The following is a 27,793-nucleotide window of genomic DNA, read 5'->3' as shown; positions in this document are numbered from 1 at the left end:
TACCACTGTACTCTAGCCTGGGTGACAGAGTAAGACCTCTGTCTCTTATTTATATATCTTGGGGCCCACAAGGAATTTACTTGTGAGCAAACTGTGAGAGACGTATGTAGCCTTTTATCTTTGTAGCTATCTATTTAGGAAAAAATGGGAGGCAGCTTTGCATGACTCAGTTCCCAAGCTTGACTTTTCCCTTTGACATAGGGAGTCTGGGGCCCTAAGATTTTATTTTCCTTTCTAGATAGATAGATAAGCTTTTTTTTTTCAAATTACACAAAATAATTCTACAGTAACTGCATAATCTTTCATAATTTATAAGGAAGGTTCTTCTCATACTTTCCTCTGTTTAGATGATACTTGGAGAATGACATCTATTTCTGGAATTACATTCATTTTAAGAAAGATATAAACTAAACAAAAATACATTTCAAACAGAGTAACCAGAATTCTGAAGGCTCTAAAATTAAGTCATGTGAGGAACTATTGAAGGCATTGTTTCTTTCCTTGAACAAAAAAAGACAAAAGGGTGCATATTTTGTTATATTCACACATCTTAAGGGAAGATACTAGAGGATAGATTAGAACTATTTACATTGTATTAAGATATGAACCAGTATGACAACATTAAAAGGCAAAATGTAATATAAAAGACTGACACAGAAGGCACTAAATTCCCCTTTAGAAAGATAGTCATACATGTAGACCACAATTATATTAAACTGAAGGACAATTTTTCTTGATATAGAACTTCAGATAGACAGTTTGGGGATGGGGGATTCTTTTTAAAGGGGTAATTTAATTTCTGTATTACATTATTTCTTAATAGATAGCGATCATTCTTAATGTTGTTTTAGTATATATGCCTTTTTTCCTCTAGATAATTTTAAGATTTTCTCCCTATCTTTGGTTTTTATAAATTTGACTATAATGTACCTAGGTGTATAATTATTTGTATTCATCCTGATTGAGGTTAATTGGGCTCTTTAGGTGTGTGAGTTTAGAGTTTTCATCAAAATTAGAAATTTATCAGATATTTTTTCAAATAATTTTTTCTGCTACAATTTTTTCCCTCTTTTCTCTTCTGGGGACTCCAAAAACATGTTTTTTATACTGTTTGTTATTTTGTACTAGTTATTGAGTTGCTCTCTCTCTCTCTCTCTCTCTCTCTCTGGGTGTGTGTGAGAGAGAGATAGAGATTCAGCACAAATGAATTTCTAATGAATTTCTAATGTTATAATCACCCAGCAAGTTCTTCCTGCCTGCTGCACAGACAAAACCAGTTCACTGAGACTGTGGTATTGCAGTAAAGAAAGAGTTTACATGCCTGTAATCCCAGCACTTTGGGAGGCTGAGGTGGGCAGATCACAAGGTCAAGAGATTGAGACCACCCTGGCTAACATGGTGAAACCCCGTCTCTACTAAAAATACAAAAATTAGTTGGGTGTGGTGGTGTGTGTCTGTAATCCCAGCTACTCGGGAGGCTGAGGCAAGAGAATTGCTTGAACCCAGGAGGCAGAGGTTGCAGTGAGCCGATATTGCACCACTGCCTTCCAGCCTGGCAACAATGCAAGGCTTCGTCAAAAAAGAAACAAACAAAGAAAGAAAGAGTTTAATTAACACAAGGCCAACCACATGGAAGAACTGGAGAACTCACTCAAATCTGTCTCACTGAAAACTCAGAGATTAGAGTTTTTCAAGAATAGTTTGGCAGTCAGAGGACAGTGCATGTGTGCTGCTGATTGGTAAAGAATGCAATCATAGAGGTGTGGAAAACAGTCCTTGTGCACTAAGTCCACCTCTAAGTGGGGGCCACAGGACTAGTTGAGTCAGGAGTCATGAGTCTGTGTGGGATCAGTCTGAAAAACATCTCAAAAGACCAATCTTAGGTTCTACAATAGTGATGTTATCTACAGGAGCAACTGGGAAGTCACAAATCTTGTGACCTCTGGCCACATGACTCCTGACAGTAAGGGTTTATAGAAACTATGTCTACATTTAGCAGAGTTTAGGCCCCTCCCATAATCCTAATCTTGTGGCCTTTTATTCCTCTTACAAAGGCAGTTTCAGGGCCTGAACAAGGAAGAGATCAGTTTTAGGGAGGGACTATTACCCTTAATTCAAAATTAAACTATAAACTGATTCTTCCCATAGTTAGCTTCACTTATGCCCAGGAATAAGTGAGGACAGCCAGCCTGTGAGGCTAGAAGCAAAATGGTGTCAGCCATGCCAGATTTCTCTCTTTGTTATATTTGCAAAGACAGTTTCAATGTCATGTCTTCGAGTTAATGTATTTTTTTATTCTGCAGTGTCAGATCTCCCATTAATCCTATCCAGTGAATTTTTATTTCTAGAATTTCCATTTGATTTTTTTTGTAATTTTCATCTCTCTGGTGGGATTCTCTGTAGAATTACTCATCATATCCATATTTTCCTTTAAATACTTTAATATGTTTGCAATAGCTATTTTGAAGTCCTTTCATAACAATTTCAAAAATCTCTATTATTTGATTGACCTATTGGGTCTATTCAATTGACTGTCTTCTGATTATGAATGTCATTTTCTTGTTTTTCTCATGCCTAATATTTTTTATTAGATGCTGTACATTATAGATGCTACATTTTTGAGAGTCTGGATTTCCTTTTCTTCCTTTAAAGGATGTTTTGTTTTCTTCTGGAAGGTGGTTCATTACTAATAGGTCAGCTGATTCACGTCAAGGCTTGGTTTTACCCTTTCCAAAGCAGGTCTAGAAGAGCCCTTACCTGAATCAGTGCTATCTAAAAGAAATTTCTATGATAATGGAAATGTTTTTTATCTGCACTTTTTTTAATATCATAGCTACTATCCACATGACTATGGATTATTTAAAATATAGCTACTGTGACCAAATAACTGTGTTTTAAATTTTATTTCATTTTCATTCATTTAAATTAAAATAGCCAATTGTATCTAGAAGCTAACCATATTGGAGAGGACAGCCTTAAGCTAAGCTTGCATAACCCAACTCCTGAGGCACAACCTTTCTGTGGTTGCAAATAAATGTTTCATAAGTTAAGTATCATTTCTTCACTCCGACTCACAGGAAGTATGTCCTCTTGTGTCCTGTTTAGCTCACCGTTCTCCTGTAGCTATTGTCTGACCAATTCTTTGAAATTTCATTTTTATACATAGACTTAGTATTCAGCCAAAGATTCAAGGGATCCTTTGTACAGATTTTTGGAGCTTTGCCTCTGCATAGTTCGCTCTTTTTTATCCCGTCCCAAAAATTCTAGCAACTTCAAAATCCCTGAGCTTCAATCTGTATTTTTTCTCTATTCAGTGACACCTATTGATCTCTACCTAGGCTCTACTTCTCAGTTGTGTGTTATGGGAACTGCCCCAGGCAAAAAGCTGGAGTGAATGTGAACCTCACCTCATGCTTTTCCCTTCCCTGGGAGGATTACAGCCACACCCTGTCTATTGTTCAGTGCTGCAAACAGTTGCTTCACACCTTTTTGTCCATTTTTATAAAAGTTTACTTTGTGAGGGTAAATACTAAATCCAGTCATGACCTGATTCAGAAATAAAAGATTCCTTTCTTTTCTATGTGTTTGGTTTTTTATTATATAAAGCTTTTACATGATTGCAAATTTAAAGCAATATAACAAGGTACAAACCCATAAATGTCATTTCCAAACGTGCTCCCCTCTGTTCCATTCCTTACCCACCCCCATAACTGAACATGCTATTAGCATTAGTTTTACATGACATTACTGTGTGTGTGTGTATTCATACCCCGCTTTCTTGTGTAAAAGAAAGCTTACTATAAATATTTCTCTGTACATTATTATATTTGTTTAAAAATTGATTTTGGACAGCACTAATTGCATAGTTCTTATGTATTTGCCATTTTTTATTCAAACAATCTTTTTTGAATGACACTTCAGTTATTTTCAGTTTTGTGCTATTACAAATAATGCTGTGTACATTAGTCATTGCCAGTGTATTATTGAGAGAGATTCCAAGAAGTAGGATTTCTGAGTCAAAGGAAAAATCTCTTCATTTTACACTTTTATCTCTCTACAATTTTATGTGATACATACAATGTACTCTGTATAAACTGTATTATTTGCAGTTAGAAACCATTTTCTCTCTTATGGGTCTTGGTATGTGTTAGTTAATCTACTTAACATTATCTTTCTCCATCCTCTTCCCAGCACAAATTTCTTGAACTTCTTTGAAATGAATTCCTTGTGACTTCTTTGAAATGAATTCTTTGGGACTTCATTAAAGATATGACTTCTCCATAGAGGCATTCTCCAACATTCATCTCTCCACCACACACAGACACACACACGCCACACCATACCACACATACAGCACACACAGCACACACACAAAACATACATATCACACATACACCACACATGTACCACACATCTATACCACACATATACACCACACACATACACCACACACACACACCACAAATACATACATCACACACCACATACACACACACACAACCTATATACCACACACCACATATAGACCACACATACACACACACACACACTATATGTACACCACACACCACACACACAGCACACATACACCACATGCATAACACACACACACCACAAACAGACACAGAGCTATGTGGGCGCCTATCTGTTTCTGTCTCCCTCTTGTTTGTATTCATGTTGCTGTCTCTTTCTATTAACTTGCTTTCTTCTAAAATGTCATTTTCTAAGACGGTCTCTTCTCTTTTTCTATAAGTTTAAGATAGTTGCCTGGTAAGCAAAGCCATACTCTAACATTTCTTTAATGAATGCTATTTATGATCATAAAGTTACCATGAACACTGTCGTATTCTTTTTTTTTTTAAGATTTTCCTTATTCTTCAGCTGTTCTATAAAGATTTCATGTTCTGTACTTTCTAAGAAATAAGTGTTTTGTTCACTTGCTGTCCTTTGATCTTGTATGTAAATAAAATAACTTTCATAATGATAAGTCAGAGTGGCTAAGTGTCTCCTTTCTTTCATTTGTGAAATCCACATGAAAAAATCAGTGGACTGGAAGATCCATATTCATCTCCAAACACCAGAACCAACGTAAATGCAGAAAGAAATGGAGAAATGGTGTGTGTTGGGAAACGAACTAGTGTTGTAAATGTCTCTGTGCCACATAGGAGTTTAAGAAAGGTGAAAAGCCCTGCTAATGAAGAAAATAACAACCCTCAATGAAGAGAGAAATAGTAGGATGAACAATGAAAATGAGAAACAGCAAAATGAATAGTGGAAAATAGTAAATCATATCTGTGTAAGCACAATTAGTGATAAATTAGTTTGGAATTTGATCATAATGCCCTTGGGGGAAAATTGTTCTTAGTGAAAAAAAAAAAAAAACCTTCAAAAAATTTATGAGAGAAAACTGTAGGTAGAGGTTGGTGATTAGCCATTACCCACTTTTGGACAGGGAAGGCATTGGATGATTAAAATACAACAAAATAGGTTAGACTTTAGAGATCAATATCCTCGATTCTATGGGATTTATGACATTGATTAATTTATTGGAGAAGGCTGGGGAATCTATATATTAAAGAAAAATCTTTTGAAATAGTATATCATCAATAATAATTAAAAGAGTGAGGAACTACACAGGAATGGGTAGACAGATCAGTGTAACAGATTAGAAAATTCAGAACAAGATACATAGATACATATGTGAGTTAGTATATGATAAAGGTATTACTTCAACTACTGGGAATTTATCTAATAGAAATAAGAATGTACACAAATGTTTGGTTATGGGGATATTTATAGTAGCACTGTATATAATAGCAAAAAACTTTTTTTTTTTTTTTTTTGAGTCGGAGTCTCGCTCTGTCGCCAAGGCTGGAGTGCAATGGCACAATCTTGGCTGACTGCAACCTCTACCTCCCGGGTTCAAGTAATTCTCCTGCCTCAGCCTCCTGAGTAGCTGGGATTACAGCAGCATGCCACCACGCCCAGCTAATTTTTGTATTTTTAGTAGAGACGGGGTTTCACCATGTTGGTCAGGCTGGTCTTGAACTCCTGAGCTCATGATCCACCTGCCTTGGCCTCTCAAAGTGCTGGGATTACAGGCATGAGCCACTGCACTCGGTCTAAAAAATATTTTTTTTACTATTTTAGTGTATCTGAACAATTAAAATGCTAGAATCTATTAAAATTATTTCTTTAAAAGCATACTCAATGACATGAGGAAATGTGGTATAAAATGGATTTCAGTGAATAAAATGCATCACAAATAGCACATATGGAATGCTGGTATTTTGAAAAAATTTGTACCCATACATAGTAAAAGTCTTCTAAACACATATATAAAACAACATTTGGAAATGTACACTCTGAAATGATATCCATTGTTCTTGGTGGTGGGATTATAGGCATTTTTTTTCCTTCTTTGTTTCTTAATTTTGGGCTCTTAATGAATAATAATATTAAAATGTAGTCATAATATTATTTTCAATGAATTAGACTACTCCTAGTCTAATTGCATTGAGCAATAATGAACAGTCTTACTGTCAATACGTTGTTTGAAATAAAATAAACAACTTTAAATCTTTCCTATAGGCACAATGAAGGAGGATGAATTCTTCCCTCTCACCCTCTCCCACACTGAGTCTGTTTAGATGTTAATAAACTGTGACCAAGTAGATGTGATTGATCAGTCTGGTAAACATCCTTTACAACAGTTTGTACCGGCTGGCTAAATACTCATAGAATTAACTCAACTGTTAAAAGCAAATCAGAAAGATTGAGAAATTTCTCTTAGAGTTTATTCTATGGCATTTAAAACTATAACTGCCAGGGTTATATAGACATGAACCCCAGTGGCTTCATAGCACCACATAAACACATGGCAAAATTATAACATGCCATTTAGGATGAAACCTACTACTTCTTTTACTCATATGGAAACAGTTTTAAGCCACTGAAGGTTAGGTAATAAGACAAAGTTCCTACATCGGACACTTACAATTGTATCCTGCTGATTCTCAAAGCAGAACAAAGGAATTTAACAAGCTCAAAAAGACCCAAAATCTAAACAGCCCCTACTGTGAGTTGAAAAATAAACTGTAATTGCTGTTTGTTTTAAATTTGTATTGAAGGGTATGTGGGAACTCTTTTCAGAGAGGAAAAATAATGTAAATTTTTACCCTCATTCAATTTCTTTGGCTGCTACTGTATTATTTGAAAGTATTCATCATAAATTTTATATATCATTTAATAACATTTCAAAATTGCAACTTTTATTTAACCCTCAACTGTTTTGTTGCAAAGCTTGTGAGTTATTGTAATATAAAAACAGAGATTCTAATGTGCCTCATATCACTGGGGGTAAATACGTTCTTACATTCTTTCAGTACTGGCCACATGACAATCTATCCCCCACCAACATCTACACAGTGAGAGGATTTGAGACAGGACCTCATAAGTAAGTGTAATGAATACCTGTTGAGATATCTTCAGATGGCTGCTCTGCAGACTTGGCATAACAGGCCATGAAGCCTCCCAAGACCAACAGACAAAGTCCCAGATGTCCATAAGCATGCCAATTATCAAAGAAACAGAAAATCGGAGAATGATTACAAATAACAAGACGAATGTCCAGCTTTGTCAGTTTGCTCATCCGTGGGATAAAGAAATCTGTATGTCAACATTTTTCATTTGTTAACACAATGCCCCCATTGTTACAGGCAGATATGAACTCCTCCAATGACTTATCCCTGGAGCTGCAGTCTAATATGATTGAATTATTTTCATAAATAGCTTGTTCATATATTTTCTGCATCAATTTAAGATGTATACCTGAAGAGATAGCTAAGCAATTTCCCCAAACTGAATTTCTATAATTCTAAAGGAAAAGATTTTTGGCAGTAAGCCCATGATTGACCTTCTTACCTCCTGTCATCCTTCACTGAAGAGAGGACACTATCAGTATCAAGAGCATGCATTCTGGAGCAACCAGGGGTGAGTCCTAGAGCTACTATTTACTGATGGTATAACATTGCACAGAATACCTGATATTTATGCATCTCAGTTGCTCATTTGTAAAGTGAGGACAAGTATAATAAATACCTCATAAAGTTATTGCATTATAAGAGATAACAAAGTGCTAAGCACAAATAATAAATATTAACAATTATTGCTGATGTTAATGGTATAATATTTCTACTACTATCATTAACATTCAGCCCTGCATATCCATGGGTTCCACCTCCATGGATTCAACCAAACACAAATCAAAAATATTTTTTGAAAAGTATTTGTACTAACCACTGCTCAAGGAAATAAGAGAGGACACAAACAAGTGGAAAAAAATTCCATGCTCATGGACACGAAGAATCAATATCAAGAAAATTGCCATACTGCCCAAAGTAATTTATAGATTCAATGCTATTCCAATCAAGCTACCAGTGACTTTCTCCACAGAACTAGAAAAAAATACTTTAAATTTCATATGGAACCAAAAAAGAGCCCATATAGCCAAGACAATCCTAAGCAAAAAGAACAAAACTGGAGGCATCATGCTACCTGACTTCAAACTATACTACAACTCTACAGTAACAAAAGCAGCATTTTGTTACTGGTACCAAAACAGATATATAAACCAATGGAACAGAACAGAAGCCTCAGAAATAATGCCACACATATACAACAATCTGATCTTTGATAAACCTGACAAAAAGAAGCAATTGGGAAAGGATTCCCTATTTAATACATGGTGTTGGGAAAACTGGTAGCCATATGCAGAAAACTGAAACTGGACCCCTTCCTTACACCTTATACAAAAATTAACTTAAGATGGATTAAAGACTTAAACATAAGACTTAAAACCATAAAAACCCTAGAAGAAAACCTAGACAACACCATCAGGACATAGGCATGGGCAAAGACTTCATGACTAAAACACCAAAAGCAATGGCAACAAAAGACAAAAGAGACAAATAGGATCTAATTAAACTAAAGAGGTTCTGCACAGCAAAAGAAACTATCATCACAGTAAACAGGCAACCCACAGAATGGGAGAAAAATTTTGCAATCTATCCATCTGACAAAGATCTAATATCCAGAATCTACAAGGAACTCAAACAAATTTACAAAAAAAAAAACAAACAACCCCATCAAAAAGTGGGCGAAGGACATGAACAGACACTTCTCAAAGAAGACATTTATGTGGCCAATAAACATGAAAAAAAACTCGTCATCACTGGTCATGAGGAAAAAACCACAATGAGATATCATCTCACACCAGCAGGAATGGAGATCATTAAAAAGTCAGGAAACAACAGATGCTGGAGAGGATGTGGAGAAATAGGACCGCTTTTACACTGTTGGTGGGAGTGTAAATTAGTTCAACAATTATGGAAGACAATGTGGTGATTCCTCAAGGATCTAGAACCAGAAATACCATTTGACCCAGCAATTGCATTACTGGGTATATACCCAATGGATCATAAATCATTCTACTATAAAGATATATGCACATGTATGTTTATTGCAGCACTATTCACAATAGCAAAGACTTGGAACAAACCCAAATGCCCATCAATGATAGAATGGATAAAGAAAATGTAGCACATATACACCATCGAATACTATGCAGCCATAAAAAAGAATGAGTTCATATCCTTTGCAGGGATATGAATGACGCTGGAAACCATCATTCTCAGCAAACTAACACAGGAACAGAAAACCAAACACTGCATGTTCTCACTCATAAGTGGGAGTTGAACAATGAGAACACAGGGACACAGGGAGGGGAATATCACACACTGGGTCCTGTTGGGAGTTGGGGGCAAGCGGAGGGAGAGCATTAGGACACATACCTAATGCATGCGGGGCTTAAAACCTAGATGATGGGTTGATGGATTCAGCAAACCACCATGGCACATGTATACCTATGTAACAAACCTGCAAGTTCTGCACATGTATCCCAGAACTTAAAGTATATATTTTTTAAAAGTCTTTGTAGTAAACATGTACAGACATTTTTTCTTGTCATTTTTCCCCAAACGATACAGTATAACAACTATTTACATGTCATTTACATTATGTTAGGTATAAGTAATCTAGAAATAATTTAAAGTAGGCAAGAGGATATACATAGGTTATATGCAAATTTTTTATAACAGTGACTTGAGCATCTGTCAATTTTGTTTTATGGTTTGTTTTTTTGTTTTCATAAGTTATTGGGGTACAGATGGCATTTGGTTACATGAGTAAGTTCTTTAGTGGTGATTTGTGAGATTTTGGTGCACCCATCACCAGAGCAGTATACACTGCACCATATTTGTAGTGTTTTATCCTTTTCCCCTCTCCCCTCTTCTCCCCAAGTCCCCAAAGTCCACTGAATCATTCTTACGCATTTGCCTCCTCATAGCTTAGCTCCCACATATCAATGAGAACATACAATGTTTGTTTTTCCATTCCTGAGTTACTTCACTTAAAATAATAGTCCCCAATCTCATCCAGGTCATTGCAAATGCTATTAATTAATTCCTTTTTATGGCTGAGAAATATTCCGTCATACAAATATACAACAGTTTCTTTATCTACTTATTGATGGATGGGCATTTGAGTTGGTTCCAGGATTTTGCAATTGTGAATTGCACTACTATAAACATGCGTGTGCGAGTATCTTTTTCAAATAACGACTTCTTTTCCTCTGGGTAGATACCCAGTAGTGGGATTGCTGGATGAAATGGTAGTTCTATTGTTAGTTTTTAAGGAATCTCCACACTGTTTTCCATGGTGGCTGTACTAGTTTACATTCCCACCAGCAGTACAGAAGTGTTCCCTGATCACCACATTCGTGCCAACATATACTGTTTTTTGATTTTTTTATTATGGCCAATGTTGCAGGAGTTAGGTGGTATCACATTGTGGTTTTGATTTGCATTTCCCTGATCATTAGTGATGTTGAGCATTTTTTCATGTGTTTGTTGGCCATTTGTACATCTTCTTTTGAGAATTGTCTGTTCGTGTCCTTAGCCCGCTTTTTGATGGGATTGGTTTTTTGTTACTGATTTGTTTGAGTTCATTGCAGATTCTGGATATTAGTCCTTTGTCAGATGTATAGATTATAAAGATTTTCTCCCACTCTGTGGGTTACCTATTTACTCTGCTCACTGTTTCTTTTGCCATGCAAAACTCTTTAGTTTGATTAGGTCCCAGTTATTTATCTTTGTTTTAACTGCATTTGATTTTGGGTTCTTGGTCATTAAATCCTTGCCTAAGCCAAGGACTAGGAGGGTTTTTCCAATGTTATCTTCTAGGGTTTTTATAGTTTCAGGTCTTAGGTTTAAGTTATTAATTCATCTTGAGTTGATTTTTTTTAAGGTGAGAGATGAGGATCCAGTTTCATTCTCCTATATGTGGTTAGCCAATTATCCCAGCATCATTTGTTGAAAAAGGTGTCCTTTCCCCACTTTATGTTTTTGTTTGCTTTGTCAAAGATCAGTTGGCTGTATGTATTTGGGTTTATTTCTGGGCTCTCTATTCTGTTCCATTGGTCTATGTGCCTAATTTTATACCAGTAACATACTGTTTTGGTGACTATGGCTTTATAGTATAGTTTGAAATCAGGTAGTTGATGCCTCCAGATTTGTTCTTTTTGCTTAGTCTTGCTTTGGTTATGTGGGCTCTTTTTTGGTTCCACATGAATTTTAGGATTTTTTTTCCAATTGGTGAAGAATGATGGTGGTATTTTGCTGGGAATTGCATTGAATTTGTAGATTGCTTTTGGTAGTACAGTCATTTTCACAATATTGATTCTACCCATCCATGAGCATGGGATGGGTTTCCATTTGTTTGTGTCATCCATGTTTTCTTTCAGCACTGTTTTGTAGTTTTCCTTGTAGAGGTCTTTCAACTCCTTGGTTAGGTATATTCCTAAGTTTTTTTTTTTGGGTTTTTTTTTTTTTTTGCAGCTATTGTAAAGGGGGTTCAGTTCTTGATTTGCTTTTCTGCTTGGTCATTGTTGGTGTGTAGAAGAGCTACTGATTTGTGTACATTACTCTTGTATCTGGAAACTTTGCTGAATTCTTTTATCAGTTCTAGGAGCTTTCTGGAGGAGTCCTTAGGGTTTTCGAGGTAAACAATCATATCATCAGCAAACAGTGACAGTGTGACTTCCTTTTTACCAATTTGGATGTCCTTTATTTCTTTCTCTTATCTGATTGCTCTGGCTAGGACTTCAAGTACTAAGTTGAAGACAAGTGGTAAGAGCAGGCATCCTTATCTGTTCCAGTTCTCAGAGGGAATGCTTTCAACTTTTCCCGATTCAGTATGATGTTGGCTAAGGGTTCGTTATAGGTGGCTTTTATTACATTAAGATATGTCCCTTGTATGCCAGTTTTGCTGAGAGTTTTAATCATAAAGCGATGCTAGATTTTGTCAAATGCTTTTTCTGCATCTATTGAGATGATCATGTGATTTTTGTTTTTAATTCTGGTTATGTGATGTATCACATTTATTGACTTGTGTACGTTAAATCATCCCTGCATCCCTGGTATGAAACTCACTTGATCATGGTGGATTATCTTTTTGATATGTTGCTGGATTTAGTTAGCTAGTATTTTGTTAAGGATTTTAGCATCTATGTTCATCAAGGATATCGGTCTGTAGTTTTCTTTTCTGGTTATGCCCTTTCCTGGTTTTGGTATTAGGGTGATGCTGGCTTCATAGAATGAATTAGGGAGGGTTCCTTCTTTTTCTATCTTGTGGAATAGTGTCAAAAAGATTGGTACCAATTATTTGAATGTCTGGTAGAATTCTGCTGTGAATCCATCTGGTCCTGGCCTTTTTTTTTTTTTTTTTTTTGGTAATTTTTTAATTACCATTTCGAGCCAAGATGGCCAAAAAGGAACAGCTCCGGTCTACAGCTCCTAGCGTGAGCGACACAGAAGACGGGTGATCTCTGCAGTTTCCATCTGAGGTACCGGGTTCATCTCACTAGGGAGTGCCAGAGAGTGGGCGCAGGACAGTGGGTGCAGCGCACCATGCGCGAGCCAAAGCAGGGCGAGGCATTGCCTCACTCGGGAAGCACAAGGGGTCAGGGAGTTCCCTTTCCTAGTCAAAGAAAGGGGTGACAGACGGCACCTGGAAAATCAGGTGACTCCCACCCTAATACTGCGCTTTTCCAACGGGCTTAAAAAACAGCGCACCAGGAGATTATATCCCACACCTGGCTCGGAGGGTCCTACACCCACGGAGTCTCACTGATTACTAGCACAGCAGTCTGAGATCAAACTGCAAGGCGGCAGCGAGGCTGGGGGAGGGGCACCCGCCATTGCCCAGGCTTGCTTAGGTAAACAAAGCAGCCAGGAAGCTCGAACTGGGTGGAGCCCACCACAGCTCAAGGAGGCCTGCCTGCCTCTGTAGGCTCCACCTTTGGGGGCAGGGCACAGACAAACAAAAAGACAGCAGTAACCTCTGCAGACTTAAATGTCCCTGTCTGACAGCTTTGAAGAGAGCAGTGGGTCTCCCAGCATGCAGCTGGAGATCTGAGAACAGGCAGACTGCCTCCTCATGTGGGTCCCTGACCCTTGACCCCCGAGCAGTCTAATTGGGAGGCACCCCCCAGTAGGGGAAGACTGACACCTCCCACGGCCGGGTACTCCTCTGAGACAAAACTTCCAGAGGAATGATCAGACAGCAGCATTCGCGGTTCATGAAAGCCCACTGTTCTGCAGCCACCGCTGCTGGTACCCAGGCAAACAGCGTCTGGAGTGGACCTCTAGCAAACTCCAACAGACCTGCAGCTGAGGGTCCTGTCTGTTAGAAGGAAAACTAACAAACAGAAAGGACATCCACACCAAAAACCCATCTGTACATCACCATCATCAAAGACCAAAAGTAGATAAAACCACAAAGATGGGGAAAAAACAGAGCAGAAAAACTGGAAACTCTAAAAAGCAGAGCGCCTCTCCTCCTCCAAAGGAACGCAGATCCTCACCAGCAATGGAACAAAGCTGGATGGAGAATGACTTTGACGAGTTGAGAGAAGAAGGCTTCAGACGATCAAACTACTCCGAGCTACAGGAGGAAATTCAAACCAAAGGCAAAGAAGTTGAAAACTTTGAAAAAAATTTAGACGAATGTATAACTAGAATAACCAATACAGAGAAGTGCTTAAAGGAGCTGATGGAGCTGAAAGCCAAGGCTCGAGAACTACGTGAAGAATGCAGAAACCTCAGGAGCCGATGCGATCAACTGGAAGAAAGGGTATCAGTGATGGAAGATGAAATGAATGAAATGAAGCGAGAAGGGAAGTTTAGAGAAAAAAGAATAAAAAGAAACAAACAAAGCCTCCAAGAAATATGGGACTATGTGAAAAGACCAAATCTATGTCTGATTGGTGTATCTGAAAGTGACAGGGAGAATGGAACCAAGTTGGAAAACACTCTGCAGGATATTATCCAGGAGAACTTCCCCAATCTAGTAAGGCAGGCCAACATTCAGATTCAGGAAATACAGAGAATGCCACAAAGATACTCCTCGAGAAGAGCAACTCCAAGACACATAATTGTCAGATTCACCAAAGCTGAACTGAAGGAAAACATGTTAAGGGCAGGCAGAGAGAAAGGTCGGGTTACCACAAAGGGAAGCCCATCAGACTAACAGCGGATCTCTTGGCAGAAACTCTACAAGGCAGAAGAGAGTGGGGGCCAATATTCAACATTCTTAAAGAAAAGAATTTTCAACGCAGAATTTCATATCCAGCCAAACTAAGCTTCATAAGTGAAGGAGAAATAAAATACTTTACAGACAAGCAAATGCTGAGAGATTTTGTCACCACCAGGCCTGCCCTAAAAGAGCTCCTGAAGGAAGCACTAAACATGGAAAGGAACAACCGATACCAGCCACTGCAAAATCATGCCAAAATGTAAAGACCATCGAGGCTAGGAAGAAACTGCATCAACTAACGAGCAAAATAACCAGCTAACGTCATAATGACAGGATCAAATTCACACATAACAATATTAACTTTAAATGTAAATGGACTAAATTCTCCAATTAAAAGACACAGACTGGCAAATAGGATAAAGAGTCAAGTCCCATCAGTGTGCTCTATTCAGGAAACCCATCTCACATGCAGAGACACACATAGGCTCAAAATAAAAGGATGGAGGAAGATCTACCAAGCAAATGGAAAACAAAAAAAGGCAGAGGTTGCAATCCTAGTCTCTGATAAAACAGACTTTAAACCAACAAAGATCAAAAGAGACAAAGAAGGCCATTACATAATGGTAAAGGGATCAATTCAACAAGAAGAGCTAACTATCCTAAATATATATGCACCCAGTACAGGAGCACCCAGATTCATAAAGCAAGTCCTCAGTGACCTACAAAGAGACTTAGACTCCCACACAATAATAATGGGAGACTTTAACACCCCACTGTCAACAGTAGACAGATCAACGAGACAGAAAGTTAACAAGGATACCCAGGAATTGAACTCAGCTCTGTACCAAGTGGACCTAATAGATATCTACAGAACTCTCCACCCCAAATCAACAGAATATACATTTTTTTTCAGCACCACACCACACCTATTCCAAAATTGACCACATAGTTGGAAGTAAAGCTCTCCTCAGCAAATGTAAAAGATCAGACATTATAACAAACTGTCTCTCAGACCACAGTGCAATCAAACTAGAAGTCAGGATTAAGAAACTCACTCAAAACCGCTCAACTACATGGAAACTGAACAACCTGCTCCTGAGTGACTACTGAGTACATAACGAAATGAAGGCAGAAATAAAGATGTTCTTTGAAACCAACGAGAACAAAGACACAACATACCAGAATCTCTGGGACACATTTAAAGCAGTGTGTAGAGGGAAATTTATAGCACTAAATACCCACAAGAGAAAGCAGGAAAGATCCAAAATTGACACCCTAATATCACAATTTAAAAAACTAGAAAAGCAAGAGCAAACACATTCAAAAGCTAGGAGAAGGCAAGAAATAACTAAAATCAGAGCAGAACTGAAGGAAATCGAGACACAAAAAACCCTTCAAAAAATTAATGAATCCAGGAGCTGGTTTTTTGAAAGGATCAAGAAAATTGATAGACCGCTAGCAAGACTAATAAAGAAAAAAAGAGAGAAGAATCAAATAGACGCAATAAAAAATGATAAAGGGGATATCACCACCGATCCCACAGAAATACAAACTACCATCAGAGAATACTACAAACACCTCTACCCAAATAAACTAGAAAATCTTGAAGAAATGGATAAATTCCTCGACACATACACCCTCCCAAGACTAAACCAGGAAGAAGTTGAATCTCTGAATAGACCAATAACAGGCTCTGAAATTGTGGCAATAATCAAAAGCTTACCAACCAAAAAGAGTCCAGGACCAGATGGATTCACAGCCGAATTCTACCAGAGGTACAAGGAGGAACTGGTACCATTCCTTCTGAAACTATTCCAATCAACAGAAAAAGAGGGAATCCTCCCTAATTCATTTTATAAGGCCAGCATCATCCTGATACCAAAGCCGGGCAGAGACACAACCAAAAAAGAGAATTTTAGACCAATATCCTTGATGAACATTGATGCAAAAATCCTCAATAGAATACTGGCAAACCGAATCCAGCAGCACATCAAAAAGCTTATCCACCATGATCAAGTGGGCTTCATCCCTGGGATGCAAGGCTGGTTCAATATACGCAAATCAATCAATGTAATCCAGCATATACACAGAACCAAAGACAAAAACCACATGATTATCTCAATAGATGCAGAAAAGGCCTTTGACAAAATTCAACAACGCTTCATGCTAAAAACTCTCAATAAATTAGGTATTGATGGGACGTATCTCAAAATAATAAGAGCTATCTATGACAAAGCCACAGCCAATATCATACTGAATGGGCAAAAACTGGAAGCATTCCCTTTGAAAACTGGCACAAGATAGGGATGCCCTCTCTCACCACTCCTATTCAACATAGTGTTGGAAGTTCTGGCCAGGGCAATTAGGCAGAAGAAGGAAATAAGGGGTATTCAATTAGGAAAATAGGAAGTCTAATTGTCCCTGTTTGCAGATGACATGATTGTATATCTAGAAAACCCCATTGTCTCAGCCCAAAATCTCCTTAAGCTGATAAGCAACTTCAGCAAAGTCTCAGGATACAAAATCAGTGTACAAAAATCACAAGCATTCTTATACACCAACAACAGACAAACAGAGAGCCAAATCATGAGTGAACTCCCATTCACAATTGCTTCAAAGAGAATAAAATACCTAGGAATTCAACTTACAAGGGACGTGAAGGACCTCTTCAAGGAGAACTACAAACCACTGCTCAATGAAATAAAAGAGGATACAAACAAATGGAAGAACGTTCCATGCTCATGGGTAGGAAGAATCAATATCATGAAAATGGCCATACTGCCCAAGGTAATTTATAGATTCAATGCCATCCCCATCAAGCTACTAATGACTTTCTTCACAGAATTGGAAAAAACTACTTTAAAGTTCATATGGAACCAAAAAAGAGCCCGCATCGCCAAGTCAATCCTAAGCCAAAAGAACAAAGCTGGAGGCATCATGCTACCTGACTTCAAACTATACCTCAAGGCTACAGTAACCAAAATAGCATGGTACTGGTACCAAAACAGAGATATAGATCAATGGAACAAAACAGAGCCCTCAGAAATAACACCGCATATCTACAACTATCTGATCCTTGACAAACCTGAGAAAAACAAGCAATGGGGAAAGGATTCCCTATTTAATAAATGGTGCTGGGAAAACTTGCTAGCCATATGTAGAAAGTTGAAACTGGATCCCTTCCTTACACCTTATACAAAAATTAATTCGAGATGTATTAAAGACTTAAACGTTAGACTTAAAACCATAAAAACCCTAGAAGAAAACCTAGGCATTACCATTCAAGACACAGGCATGGGAAAAGACTTCATGTCTAAAACACCAAAAGCAATGGCAACAAAAGACAAAATTGACAAATGGGATCTAATTAAACTAAAGAGCTTCTGCACAGCAAAAGAAACTACCATCAGAGTGAGCAGGCAACCTACAAAATGGGAGAAAATTTTCGCAACCCACTCATCTGACAAAGGGCTAATATCCAGAATCTACAATGAACTCAAACAAATTTACAAGAAAAAAACAAACAACCCCATGAAAAATGGGTGAAGGACATGAACAGACACTTCTCAAAAGAAGACATTTATGCAGTCAAAAGACACATGAAAAAATGCTCATCATCACTGGCCATCAGAGAAATGCAAATCAAAACCACAATGAGATACCGTCTCACACCAGTTAGAATGGCAATCATTAAAAAGTCATGAAACAACAGGTGCTGGAGAGGATGTGCAGAAATAGGAACACTTTTACACTATTGGTAGGACTGTAAACTAGTTCAACCATTGTGGAAATCAGTGTGGCGATTCCTCAGGGATCGAGAACTAGAAATACCATTTGACCCAGCCATCCCATTACTGGGTATATACCCAAAGGACTATAAATCATGCTGCTATAAAGACACATGCACACGTATGTTTATTGCGGCACTATTCACAATAGCAAAGACTTGGAACCCACCCAAATGTCCAACAATGATAGACTGGATTAAGAAAATGTGGCACATACACACCATGGAATACTATGCAGCCATAAAAAATGATGAGTTCATGTCCTTTGTAGGGACATGGATGAAATTGGAAATCATCATTCTCAGTAAACTATCGCAAGGACAAAAAACCAAACACCGCATGTTCTCACTCATAGGTGGGAATTGAACAATGAGAACAAATGGACACAGGAAGGGGAACATCACACTCTGGGGACTGTTGTGCGTCGGGGGAGGGGGGAGGGATAGCTTTAGGAGATATACCTAATGCTAAATGACGAGTTAATGGGTGCAGCACACCAGCATGGCACATGTATACATATGTAACTAACCTGCACATTGTGCACATGTACCCTAAAACTTAAAGTATAATAATAATAAAATAAAATTTAAAAATACATAAATAAAAAATAAATAAAAACAACTGCATCCTCTGGGGATGACCAAGCCAAAAAAAAATTACCATTTAAATCTCGCTGCTTGTTATTGGGCTGTTCAGGGTACTTAATATAACACATATTATGTGGCTATTGAATGAAATGTTCTGTAAATATCTGTTAAGTCCATTTGTTCCAAGGTATAGTTTAAATCCATTGTTTCTTTGTTGACCTTCTGTCTTGATGACCTGTCTAGTGCTGTCAGTGGAGTAATGAAGTCCCCCGCTATTGTTGTGCTGCTGTCTATCTCACTTCTTAGGTCTATTAGTAATTGTTTTTTAAATTTGGGAGTTCCAGTGTTAGGTGCATATATGTTTAGGATTGTGATATTTTCCTGTTCCACAAGGCCTTTTACCATTATATAATGTCCCTCTTTGTCTCTTTTAACTGCTGTTGTTTTAAAGTTTGTTTTGTCTGATATAAGAATAACTACCCCTGTTGGCTTTTGGTGTCCACTTGCATGAAATGCCTTTTCTACCCCTTTGCTTTAAGTTTATGTGAGTCCTTATGTGTTACATCAGTCTCCCGAAGGAAGCAGATAGTTTTCTGGTGAGTTCTTATCTATTATGCAGTTCTGTATCTTTTAAATGGAGGATTAAGGCCATTTACATTCAATGTTAGTCTTGAAATGTGAGGTACCATTGCATTCATCATGGTCTTTGTTGCCTGTGTACTTTGGATTTTTTGTTTTTGGTTTTTGCTTTTTAACTTATTTTTTTTTATAGGTCCTGTGTGATTTATGCTTTAAAGAGGTTCTATTTTGAAGTGTCCCCAGGATTTGTTTCAAGATGTAGAGCTCCTTTTAGCAGTTCTTGTAGTGGTGGCTTGGTAATGGCAAATTCTCTCAGCATTCGTTTGTCTGAAAAAGACTGTATCTTTCCTTCATATATGATGCTTAGTTTTGCTGGGTACCAAATTCTTGGCTGAAAATTGTTTTGTTTGAGGAGGCTGAAGATAGGGCCCCAATCCCTTCTAGCTTGTAGGGTTTCTGCTGAGAAGTCTGCTGTTAATCTGATCAATTTTCCTTTATAGGTTACCTGGTGCTTCTGTCTCACAGCTCTTAAGATTCTTTCCTTCATCTTAACTTTGGATAACCTGATGACAATGTGCCTAGGCAATGATCTTTTTGAGATGAATTTCCTAGGTGCTCTTTGTGCTTCTTGTATTTGGATGTCTACGTCTCTAGCAAGGCCAGAGAAGTTTTCCTCAGTTATTCCCCAAAATATGTTTTCCAAGTTTTTAGAATTCTCTTCTTCCTCAGGAACACCAATTATTCTTAGGTTTGGTCATTTAACATAATCCCAGACTTCTCGGAGGCTTTGTTCATATTTTCTTATTCTTTTTGCTTTGTCTTTGTTGGATTGGGTTCATTCAAAGACTTTGTCTTTGAGCTCTGAATTTCTTTCTTCTACTAGTTCAATTCTATTGCTGAGACTTTCCAAAGCAGTTCACGTCTAAAAGTGTGCAAAGTTTCTTGAATTTTTTATTGTTTTTTCTTTAAGCTATCTATTTCCTTGAATATTTCTCCCTTCACTTCTTGTATTGTTTTTTGGGTTTCCTTGCATTGGGTTTTGCCTTTCTCTGGTGCCTCCCTGATTAGCTTAATAACTAACCTCCTGAATTGTTTTTCAGGTAAATCAGGTATTTCTTCTTGGTTTGCATCCATTGCTGGTGAACTAGTATGATTTTTGGGGGGTGTTAAAGAGCCTTATTTTGTCATATTACTAGGGTTGGTTTTCTGGTTCCTTCTGATTTGGGTGGGCTCTGTCAGAGGGAAGGTCTAGAGCTGAAGGCTGTTGTCCAGGTTCTATTGTCCCATGGGGTGTTCCCTTGATGTAGTACTCTCACCCTTTTCCTAAGGATGTGGATTCCTGTGAGCTGAACTGCTGTGATTGTTGTCTGTCTTCTTGGGTCTAGCCACCCAGCGAGTCTACCTGGCTCCGGGCTGGTACTGGGGGTTGTCTGTACAGAGTTCTGTGGTGTACCGTGTATGGGTCTCTCAGCTATGGATATCACCATGAGTTCCAGTGGAGGTGGCGGGGGCAGGGGCGCAATGGATTCCATGAAGGTTTTCAGCTTTGGTGGCTTAATGCTCTATTTTTATGCTGGTTGGCCTCCTGCCAGGAGGTGGCACTTTCCGGAGAGCACCAGCTGTGGTATTATGGAGAGGAACTGGTGGTGGTCAGGGCCCTAGAACTCCCAAGATTATATGCCCTTTGTCTTCAGCTACCAGGGTGGGTAAGGAAGGACCATCAGGTGGGGGCAGTGTTTGGCTGTCTGAGTTCAGACTCTCCTTGGGTGGATTTTGCTTTGGCTGCTGTCGGGAGATGGAGGTGAGATTCCCAGGTCACTGGAGTTGTGTACCTAGGAGGATTATGGCTGCCTCTACTGAGTCAAGCAGGTTATCAGGGAAGTGGGGAAAGCTGGCAGTCATGGGCCTCACCCAGCTCCCAAGCAAACCCAAGGGCCAGTCTCATTCCCACCGTGTCCTCCCCTGACAGCCCTGAGCCTGTTTCCAGGTGGTGGGTGAGATGGGCTTGAAAACTTGTCCCAGGATGTCCACCTCCCAGCTGCAAAAGGAAAGGGCTTGGCTTTTCCCCAGCCTGTGGAGTCTGCACACTGGATTTGCACCCTCCCCCAAGTTCTGGCCAGGAGGCTTCTCACCTCATTCAAATTGTTATAAAGTTCAGCTAGAGATTTCCTTCTCCCTATGGCATTTTATCCCCTGTTCCTCTGGCCACCCTCCTGATGGATCCTTGTGGTACCAGGCTGGAATGGGCTGCTTGGGGAACCAGCGAGCTTCCAGGGCACTTCTGCTGCTTCCTCTACCCCTGTTATTTTACTCGGCTCTCTAAATTGACTCAGCTCCAGGTAAGGTCAGAAACTTATCCCACAAACAGACCTTCAGTTTCTCCAGTGGGGGTGTGTGTTCAGGAGAGGAGGTTCTCCCTTTCCCACTTCCACAGTTGCAACATTCATAGTATTTGAGGTGTCTCTCAGGTCCTGCAGGAGCAATTCACTTCCTTCAGAGGGTCTGTGGGTCCTCTCAGGATTGCTGGTTTGTTCTTGCAGTCGATCTGGAGCTCAAATTCACAATGCAAGCCACCACATGCTGCTCTATCCAGAGATGCAATGTAGTCCTGCCTTCTGTCTGCCATGATATCATCGATGTCGTTATCCTTCAAGGAGTCCTGAAATCAATTACCCACCAATACTGAGGAATGACTGTATTATTAATACTACCACTGCTACCCTAACTTCCCCTACTGCCGCTAATAAATTATACTGCCTCTGAGCCTGGACTAAGACAACTCAGGCAGAGCCTCTGTTCCTGCGGAGCTCACAATCTATTACAGATGGGCAGAGAAGTAAATGAATGAGAGCAATAAAGTAGATGCTCTAATAAAATGTGTGCATAGGGTTCAGGAAAGACATGAAGGGAAGAAAGCATGAATTGAGACTTAGAGTTCTGAAGCAACCTTAAATATTCAGTAACTATTTGTAGCTCTGTAGGCTGGAACCTAGGGTGCAGTTTATGGGACTGAAGATGGAAGTGGGGCCAAATAATGGAGGGGTGTCAAGACTGTGTTAAGGAGTTAATTTTTAGGATTTCTACCTTTTGAAAAACTCCGATACTTTCCACATCATTTTCTTATTCTTCATGACAGTCTTTTGTTGTAGAAAACATTAAATCAATTTTACAGAGAGAAAATTAAGGCATGGGGTTGAGGATGTTAATATGACAAAAGTTACAGAACTAGTAAGTGGTGGTGTTGGTGCCTGAGCCTAGAGCTCACCCTCTTTTTTTGTCCTTATTATTCATTAGTTTCTTTCAGCTTTATTGAGGTATAATGGACAAAAACATAAGTGCATATATTTGAAGTGCACAATGTGATCATTTCATATACTTACATATTATGAAATAATTAAGACAAGTCAATTAACAGAACACTACCTCACATAGTTATATTTTTTTCAATTTTTTGGGTGTGAATGCAAGACCTACTCTCTTAGCAAATTTCAGGAATACAATGCAGTTTTTTTTTTTGTTTTTTTTTTTTTTTTTGAGACGGAGTCTTGCTCTGTCGCCCAGGCTGGACTGCAGTGGCACGATCTCTGCTCACTGCAAGCTCCGCCTCCCGGGCTGACGCCATTCTCCTGCCTCAGCCTCCCGAGTAGCTAGGACTACAGGCGCCTGCCACCACGCCCGGCTAATTTTTTGTATTTTTGGTAGAGACGGGGTTTCACCATGTTAGCCAGGATGGTCTCGATCTCCTGACCTCGTGATCCGCCTGCCTTGGCCTCCCAAAGTGACAATGGTAACCATGCTATACATTAGATCTTCAAAACTTATTATATGACTTATAACTGAAATTTTGCCCCCTTTGATCAACCCTTTTTCCTCCACCAACCACATGCCCAGATCCCCATCTCTGTTCTGGCAACTGCCATTCTACTCTGGTTTTTGTGTTTGTCTTTTTGTTTGTTTGTTTAGATTCTACATATGAATAATACCATATGGTATTTGTCTTTCTGTGCCTAGCATATTTCACTTAGCATAATGACTTCCAGGTGGATTCATGTTGTTGTCAGTGGCACAATTTCCTTCTTCTTATGGCTGAATAATATTCTAATGTACGTGTGTGTGTGTGTGTGTGTATACACACATATACATATACTCATAAGTGGTGATAATGGATCATATGGTAATTCTATTTTTAATTTTTTGAGGAAACTTTATACTGTTTTTCATAATGGCTGTATCAATTTACATTCACACCAACAGTGTACAAGGGTTCCCTTTTTGTCCACATCCTTGCCAACCTTTGTTACCTTTTGTCTTTTTGATGATAGCCATCCCAATAGGTATTAGGTGATATCTCATCATAGCTTTGATTTATATTTTCCTGATAATTAGTGATCATGAGTACCCTTTCATGTACCTATTAGCCATTTGTGTATCTTTGGAAAAATGTTTATTTAGGTCTTTTGTATATTTTTAACCAGATTATTTGTTTTGATGCTATTGAATTGTATGTGTTCCTCACATATTTTAGATAGTAACACCTTATCAGATATATTTGCAGTTATTTTTTTCCCATTCTGTAGGTTGCTTTTTCATTTTCTTGATCGTTTCCTTTGCTACACAGAAGATTTTTAGTTTGATGTTGTCCTATTTGTTTATTTTTGCTTTGTTGCCTGTGCTTTTGGTGTCATAAAAAATCATTGCCAAGATCAATGTCAAGATTTTCCCCTACGTTTTCTTCTAAGAGTTTTACGATTTCTGATCTTACATTTAAGTCTTTATTCCATTTTTAGTTAATTTTTGTAAATGGTGTAAGATAGAGGTCCAGTTTCACTTTTTTGCATTGATGATATCCAGTTTCCCAACACCATTTATTGAAGAGACTATCCTTTTGCCATTGTATATGCTTGACACCATTGTTGAAGATCAGTTGACTGTAAATGCATGGATTTATTTCTGGGCTCTCTATTCTGTTCCATTGGCCTTTATATCTGTTTTTGTGCTGGTATTATGCTGCTTTGATTACTGTGGCTTTGTAATATATTTTGAAGTCAAGTAATGTAATGCCTCCAGATTTGTTCTTTTCACTCGTGGTTGCTTTTGGCTATTCAGCGTTCTTTGTGGTTCCATAAGAACGTAGAATCATTTTTTACCATTTTGTGAAAAATGTCATTGGAATTTTCATAAGGATTGTATTCAATCTGTGGATTGTTTCAGATAGTATGGACAATTTTAACAATATTAATTCTTCCAATTCATGAACACAAGGTATCTTTCCATTGATTTATCTACTTCAATTGTATTCATCAATGACTTCTAGTTTTCAGTGTGCAGATCTTTCATTATCTTGGTGAAATTTATACCTTAGTCTTTTATTGTTTTTGCTCCTTTTGTAAGTGAGACTGATTTTTTAATTTACCTTTGAGACAGTTCATTCTGTATAGAAACCTATGAGCTTCATGGACTTTAATGTCTGCATCTCTCTCCAGATTTGAGAAATTTTCAGCCATTATTACTTTAAATACTTTCTTTCTCTCTCCCTTTCTCTCTCTTTCCCATCTGGGAAATGCCATGTTTCACTTGATGGTGTTGATAGTGTCCCATAACTCAGTTTGGCTTTCTTCACTTTTTTCTTTCTTCTTTTTTTTTCTCCTCTGACCTGCTTTCAAATTCATAGATTCTTTCTGCTGCTAGATTAAGTGTACTGTTGAGGCTCTTTACAGCATTTTTCATTTCAGTCATTGTATTTAGCAGTTCCAAAATTTCTGTCTGGTTCTTTTGTTATAACTTCCATCTCACTGTTGCACTTCTAGTTTTGTTTGTGTATTGTTTTTCTAATTTCACTGAGTTTTCTATACCTGCTATCTTATAGCTCACTGAGTGTCTTTACAACAATTATTTTAAATTCCTTTACTGGCAATTTATAGATTTTCATTTCTTTGGGGCTGGCTACTGGAAAATAATTATGTTTCTTTGGTGATGTCATGTTTTCTTGATTTGTTGTATTTCCTGTAGTCTTGCATCAATGTTTAAGCACGTGATGGTACATTTACCTATTCTAAACTTCATAGACTGGTTTTGGAGGGGAGAGACATTCACCTGTAGGTAGGTACAAGCATGCCAACTGGGTAGGGTGTGGCAGTTCTGGTTTTGGGGAGTAGTCTCCATGAATATCCCACTAAGTGAGGTCCGCATTAGCAAATATTGCAGGAGAATTCAATGACTAAGGACACTGTGGGTGTCCACAGTGGCAACAAGGACTGTTGGGGTCTTTGGTGGATAAGGCTGCTAGGAAACTCCTGATCTCTTTTTCACCCAAGGGGGATGTCATGGCTGACAGGATCCATCTTGGCATTGGGTATGGCTTGTGGGCACCCTCCTAGTAGTAGTAGCAATAATGTCTAATGCACAGTTGCTTGTGGAGCAGCCACAGAGCTGGAGTCCATAGCACAGGCACTCATGATGTGACAGCATCTTCAGAGTCTGGGGTTCTGGATAGCTTACAGTGGCAGTGGCTCCAGTGCCCATGATGTGGGCACACATGGAGCAACCTCAGAGTAAGATCTGGAGCATGGGCACATGAGAGCAGCTGCAGAGCTGACATCCAATGTACAGTCACTCACAGAATAGCCATAGCTCTAGGGTTCAGAGCTTGCATGGAGTTGGGGCTGTGGGTGGCTGCCTTGGTCTCAGGGTGGCACAACAGCTCATTCCAAGCCAGGCACAGCAGCATCTCCCTCTCCAGAGTAGACAAGGTGGCACTGAATGCTGGTGTACTCTGCAGAACAGGCCACCAGGATTAGAACCAACTAACACTATGAGATGGATACTTTATTGTGAAAGCTGCAAGGAGTCTGCAGCTTTTTGCTCTACTTTTTTTTATTCTCCTTTTTTGCTCTACTGTGTTGCTGTAGCTTCTTAATTGGACTGTTGAGCCCTCCTGGGGCTATTTTCATTCACAAATAGCTGTCTCATTGTTTTTTCGTGTCTGGGGCAAAGAAGGCTGATATCTCCTGCTCTGTCATTATGCTCACAGAACTCACACTCTTAACCTCTAAGAAGTCTGCCTGTATTTAGCCAGTGAGTGCCCATGGCTTGGGGCCAAAGTTTTCTAGTTAGACAGAGGGGTCATGTAGTCTTACCTGTGTCTTGAAGCATCATCTAGCAGGAGTGTGGAGAATGGCCTGGAGGGTTAATGAACTTCTGGCAGGCCAGATCTCACAAAAGCTGAAAAGGCAGGCCTCCGAAACAAATGTTTCAGCACTGACTAAATGGTTAGGTTAAATATTAAAGGCTGAGAAAGCCAGTACCCTTACACATAGGCTGGAACAACCAATAAAGGTCCACTAAGAGTCTTGCCCAGGCCTTTCTGGGTCTTGGAGCATGACAAGATAAGGAAGGAATGCTCACACTCCCCATACAAGGACCCATTTAGGTTTAAACAAGTTTTATTGCAGGGTCTAAAGGAACTCCCCAGATGTCTATAACTTAGTGGGACACAAGGTAAGAGTAATCACCTCCAGCACCTGGACCCATCTAAATTAAGTAAATTTACTGAGGCTCCAGAGGAAGATCTCCAGGACTCAGACCTTAATTATAGATTAGAAGAAATTAATCACTTATATCTTTAGGTGAATGCACACTTACACGTAGACATATAGCTTAGAAGGTATATCAGCACTGGAAAACTTTGTAATTTTGAGTTGGTCTGGCAATATTTCCTCAATATTCTCCCTATACCTGGTTACAGAAATAAACTCTCTTCTTTCCCATTCCTCTGCATCTCATTACTGAACCAAGAGAATAAGCAGCCTGACCCTTGGTTCAGTCTGGGAACAAACTTACAAAAATAGCCAACCACAGTCAAATCACATCCTTTCAAAGGAAGAAAATTCCTGGAAGTTTCTTTCCTTGCACACCTCTTTTAGTTTTTGGAGTCATTTCCCAGGTATCTGAGCTCATAGACACCTGCTGGCATCCTTGTGCTTTCGTTCTGCCAATACAGCAGCTCTGCTGATTCTTCCACAAAATCTTCTTTCACATCTGTTCTACAAAGCTTGCCTCACTGTTCATGCTCCTCACAGCTTCATGCTCCTACTGTACGGGGTGCTGATGGCTTTCTATGTGAAATTCTTTTTTTTTTTTTTTTTCAGACGGCGTCTCGCTCTGTCACCAGGCTGGAGTGCAATGGAG

General features: G+C 38.8%; 1 annotated feature.

Moving 5' to 3' along the window:
* Window positions 12,766-13,266: an enhancer, noted in NCBI's record as "H3K4me1 hESC enhancer chr1:238206169-238206669 (GRCh37/hg19 assembly coordinates)". NCBI's record gives its function as "activates a minimal SCP1, AML or CMV promoter by ChIP-STARR-seq in naive H9 embryonic stem cells {active_cell/tissue: H9 hESC(naive)}" and the evidence as "EXISTENCE:reporter gene assay evidence [ECO:0000049][PMID:30033119]".

Source organism: Homo sapiens, chromosome 1 (genome assembly GCF_000001405.40).
Source record: "Homo sapiens chromosome 1, GRCh38.p14 Primary Assembly".
In the NCBI taxonomy this organism is placed as follows: Eukaryota; Metazoa; Chordata; class Mammalia; order Primates; family Hominidae; genus Homo; species Homo sapiens.
The sequence above is the reverse complement of the archived record's forward strand: the minus strand, read 5'-3'. Positions and strand labels throughout refer to the sequence as shown.